The sequence below is a fragment of the Homo sapiens genome, chromosome 1 (genome assembly GCF_000001405.40).
Source record: "Homo sapiens chromosome 1, GRCh38.p14 Primary Assembly".
In the NCBI taxonomy this organism is placed as follows: Eukaryota; Metazoa; Chordata; class Mammalia; order Primates; family Hominidae; genus Homo; species Homo sapiens.
In genome coordinates, this window is record NC_000001.11 from 116,846,479 (window position 1) to 116,849,695 (window position 3,217).

Here is a 3,217-nt window from a genome sequence, read left to right on the forward strand (position 1 = left end):
GAAAAAATGGAGTGGTACAGTTAAAATGACCCACATTAAACAATTACAGCTACAAAAACAAAAACCTCTTTGGGGACTGGGTACAGATATCTAAAAAGCCACGTCAAAATGGCAGCATCTGCTGGGTGTGGTAGCTCACGCCTGTAATCTCAGCATTTTGGGAGGCTGAGGCGGGTGGATCACTTGAGGTCAAGAGTTCGAAACCAGCCTGACCAACACGGCAAAACCCTGTCTCTACTAAAAATACAAAAATGATCTGGGCATGGTGGTGCGCACCTGTAATCCCAGCTACTTGGGAGGCTGAGACAGGAGAATTGCTTGAACCCGGGAGGCAGAGGTTGCAGTGAGCCGAGATCGCACCACTGCACTCTAGCCTGGGCGACAGAACAAGATGCTGTCTCAAAAAAAAATGAAAACTGGCAGCACCCAAACAACAACTTCAAAACATCTTGGTCTGAAACACACATTCAATGATGACAATGTAATTCTGCCAGTACACATTGAAATACTAACAGGAGCACCTAAATATACCTATATATTTTGTTTTAAATATATAAATTAAAATATCTCATTTGTGATTACTACTTTCATAGTAATAATTTCAGCCATAAGTAACTTCGGAAGACTCTTTACCTGTCTGTGTCTCCGTTTTCTTCACCATAAGTTAGGAATAATAATGATATCTATCTTGTGGGCTAAAAATTAAATAAGATCATATATGTAAAAGGAGGTTGTGCCTTGCTAAGGGCCTGGCACTGATCTAAATGCAGGTGCTAAATGTTGAGCACTGAAGTCTATAATAGCCGTAGGCACTGGGAGCCTGGAGATCAGTGTGGCTAAGAAAGGAGGGAGAGTTCTGTGGATAGCTCAGGACAAAGGTGTGGCTGCTGAGCCCCAGCAGTACTGGAAAGAGGAGGCCCAAATACTAGTGCTTGCACATGTGAGAAAACGTTAGAATCTTGATGCTGAGTATATGGGTGTTAACTGCAATTTTTTTCAATTTTTCTGAATATTCCAAAATTGTGATAATAAAATGTTGGGAAATAAAGTTATAAAATAAAATCTGGTATCTCCTCCAAACCTCCATGGCCATGGGTAGCCTGGGCAGAATAGATTGACAACAACTGACCAGGCTTATAAACCGATTAAATTGGCACTAGGGAGAGAGAAATGAGGGTTGGGGGTGAGCCCGGAAGAGCCAGAGGAAGCAGCGCTTTCCCGATGTGGTGGACACGGTGCTGGAACCCCAGCTCACAGAGATTCGCTGGTGCGGCCAGGAAAGTTTGCATCATTTGGAACATGTGTGCAGGACTTCTCCCCGCCAGACAAGCCATGCTCATTTCCAGTTCTGCTTCCAGCCTGCCTGGGGGAGCCTAGCATTACAAACAATTACTCTGCTCTCAAAATGGAAAATTTCAGTCCTAGGATTTCTACAGGAACTTCTGGAGCTTGTAGAAAAAAAAAAAAAGCACCTCGCTCCTCGAGAGCAAAATTAAATGGTAAAATTTCTAAATTACTGTAAACGTGGGTCTCACGTGTCTTGAAAATAGCATGTATGTGACTGCTAAGTGTTGTGTGGGTGATTCATCAGACTCTCATTTCTTGTTTTGGTTCTGGATAGCACAGGATGTGGATTAGAAAAGTATGGTGCAGTGCTTATGTCAAACACAGAGTAAGGGGTTGCCCTGCACAGTGGCAATTAACAATTACCAGAGTATGGTTCTCTTAAAATTTAGTCGAATGAGAGTATACATGTATATCTGAACTTTGGGCAAAGGTTTAAATATTTTAAATATTATTGAAGCCAATACACATCTGTTGAGCACCTACTATTTACAATGTGAATATGCATAAATTGCAACAAATAGTACTTTTTCTGTAATGTGTGAATTACGTAATTTCAGAAATGTGTCATTTTCAAACCTTTTGCAAGCACAATCATTTCACCTGTATCTCTCTTCAAGAATCATTCTAGGCTGGGCGCAGTGGCTCATGCCCTGTAATGCCAGCACTTTGGGAGGCCAAGGTGGGCAGATCACCTAAGGTCAGGAGTTTGAGCCCAGCCTGACCAACATGGAGAAACCCCGTCTCTACTAAAAGTACAAAATTAGCCAGGCGTGGTGGCACTTGCCTGTAATCCCAGCTACTCGGGAGGCTGAGGCAGGAGAATCACTTGAACCTGGGAGGCAGAGATTGCGGTGAGCCAAGATTGTGCCATTGCACTCCAGCCTGGGCAACTCCATCTCAAAAAAGAGTGAAACTCTATCTCCAAAAAAAAAAGACTCATTCTAGTCTTCACAGTCATGCAAGAATCAAATCTGGGGCAAAGTTGAGACACTACACTCAATTGGTTAGGAGTCACCGTCATTCTCCAGTTATATTGTCTGAGTGCTATACTTTTTTAAAAAAGATTGTTTTTAAAGTAAAAATGCTAGTGATTTGGAAGGGGATAAACTGAAAAGTCCACCTCCATAAAGCACCCCCAGTCTTGCCCCCTAGAGGTAACTCTGGCAACAGATCTTTGCATATGCTTCAATAAAATTTTTACACATACACAAGCATATGTGACCCAGATGTTGGCCGTCCGTCTCATCTGCTTGACTGACTTTCTTTTGGCCTCAGGCCATGCTTGACACACAAATCTCAGTCCTTGACCAGTATTTACAAGAAATCCAATCACATTAAGTATATCCTGATTTTTAAAGTATTATTAAAGATTGATGGGGTTAGAGAGAATGATCACAGTGTACAGCATCAACATCTCTGTCTCAAACAAAACAAAACTGTGTTCAACATGTCTCTCCACATTCTTACCAGCCCACACCACAAATTGGTCATGCTCCTCTCTGGCCTCTGTACACCATCTATTCTGACACACACAGCCTGTCATTCCTATCATTCCTGTTCCAAGGTCTCTGTTTCTCCAACCCAATCCCAATTATCTCCCAACCTCTCAAGCTGTAAGGATGCAATACATTTTTATTTCATCAGATCCTTTCAGATGGACATTAGGTTGCTCCCCATTTTTTTTTCTGTGTTAAACAATGTTATAATTAATATCTTAGAAGATACATCTTTGTACACTTGTGAGTTTGTTGCTGGGTAAATTCTTAGAAGTGCAATGCCTGGATCAAGAACATATACATTCACAATTGGGACATATTTTGACAAAATGTCCTTTAAAAATGATATGAATGTATATTCCCATAGGGTATGC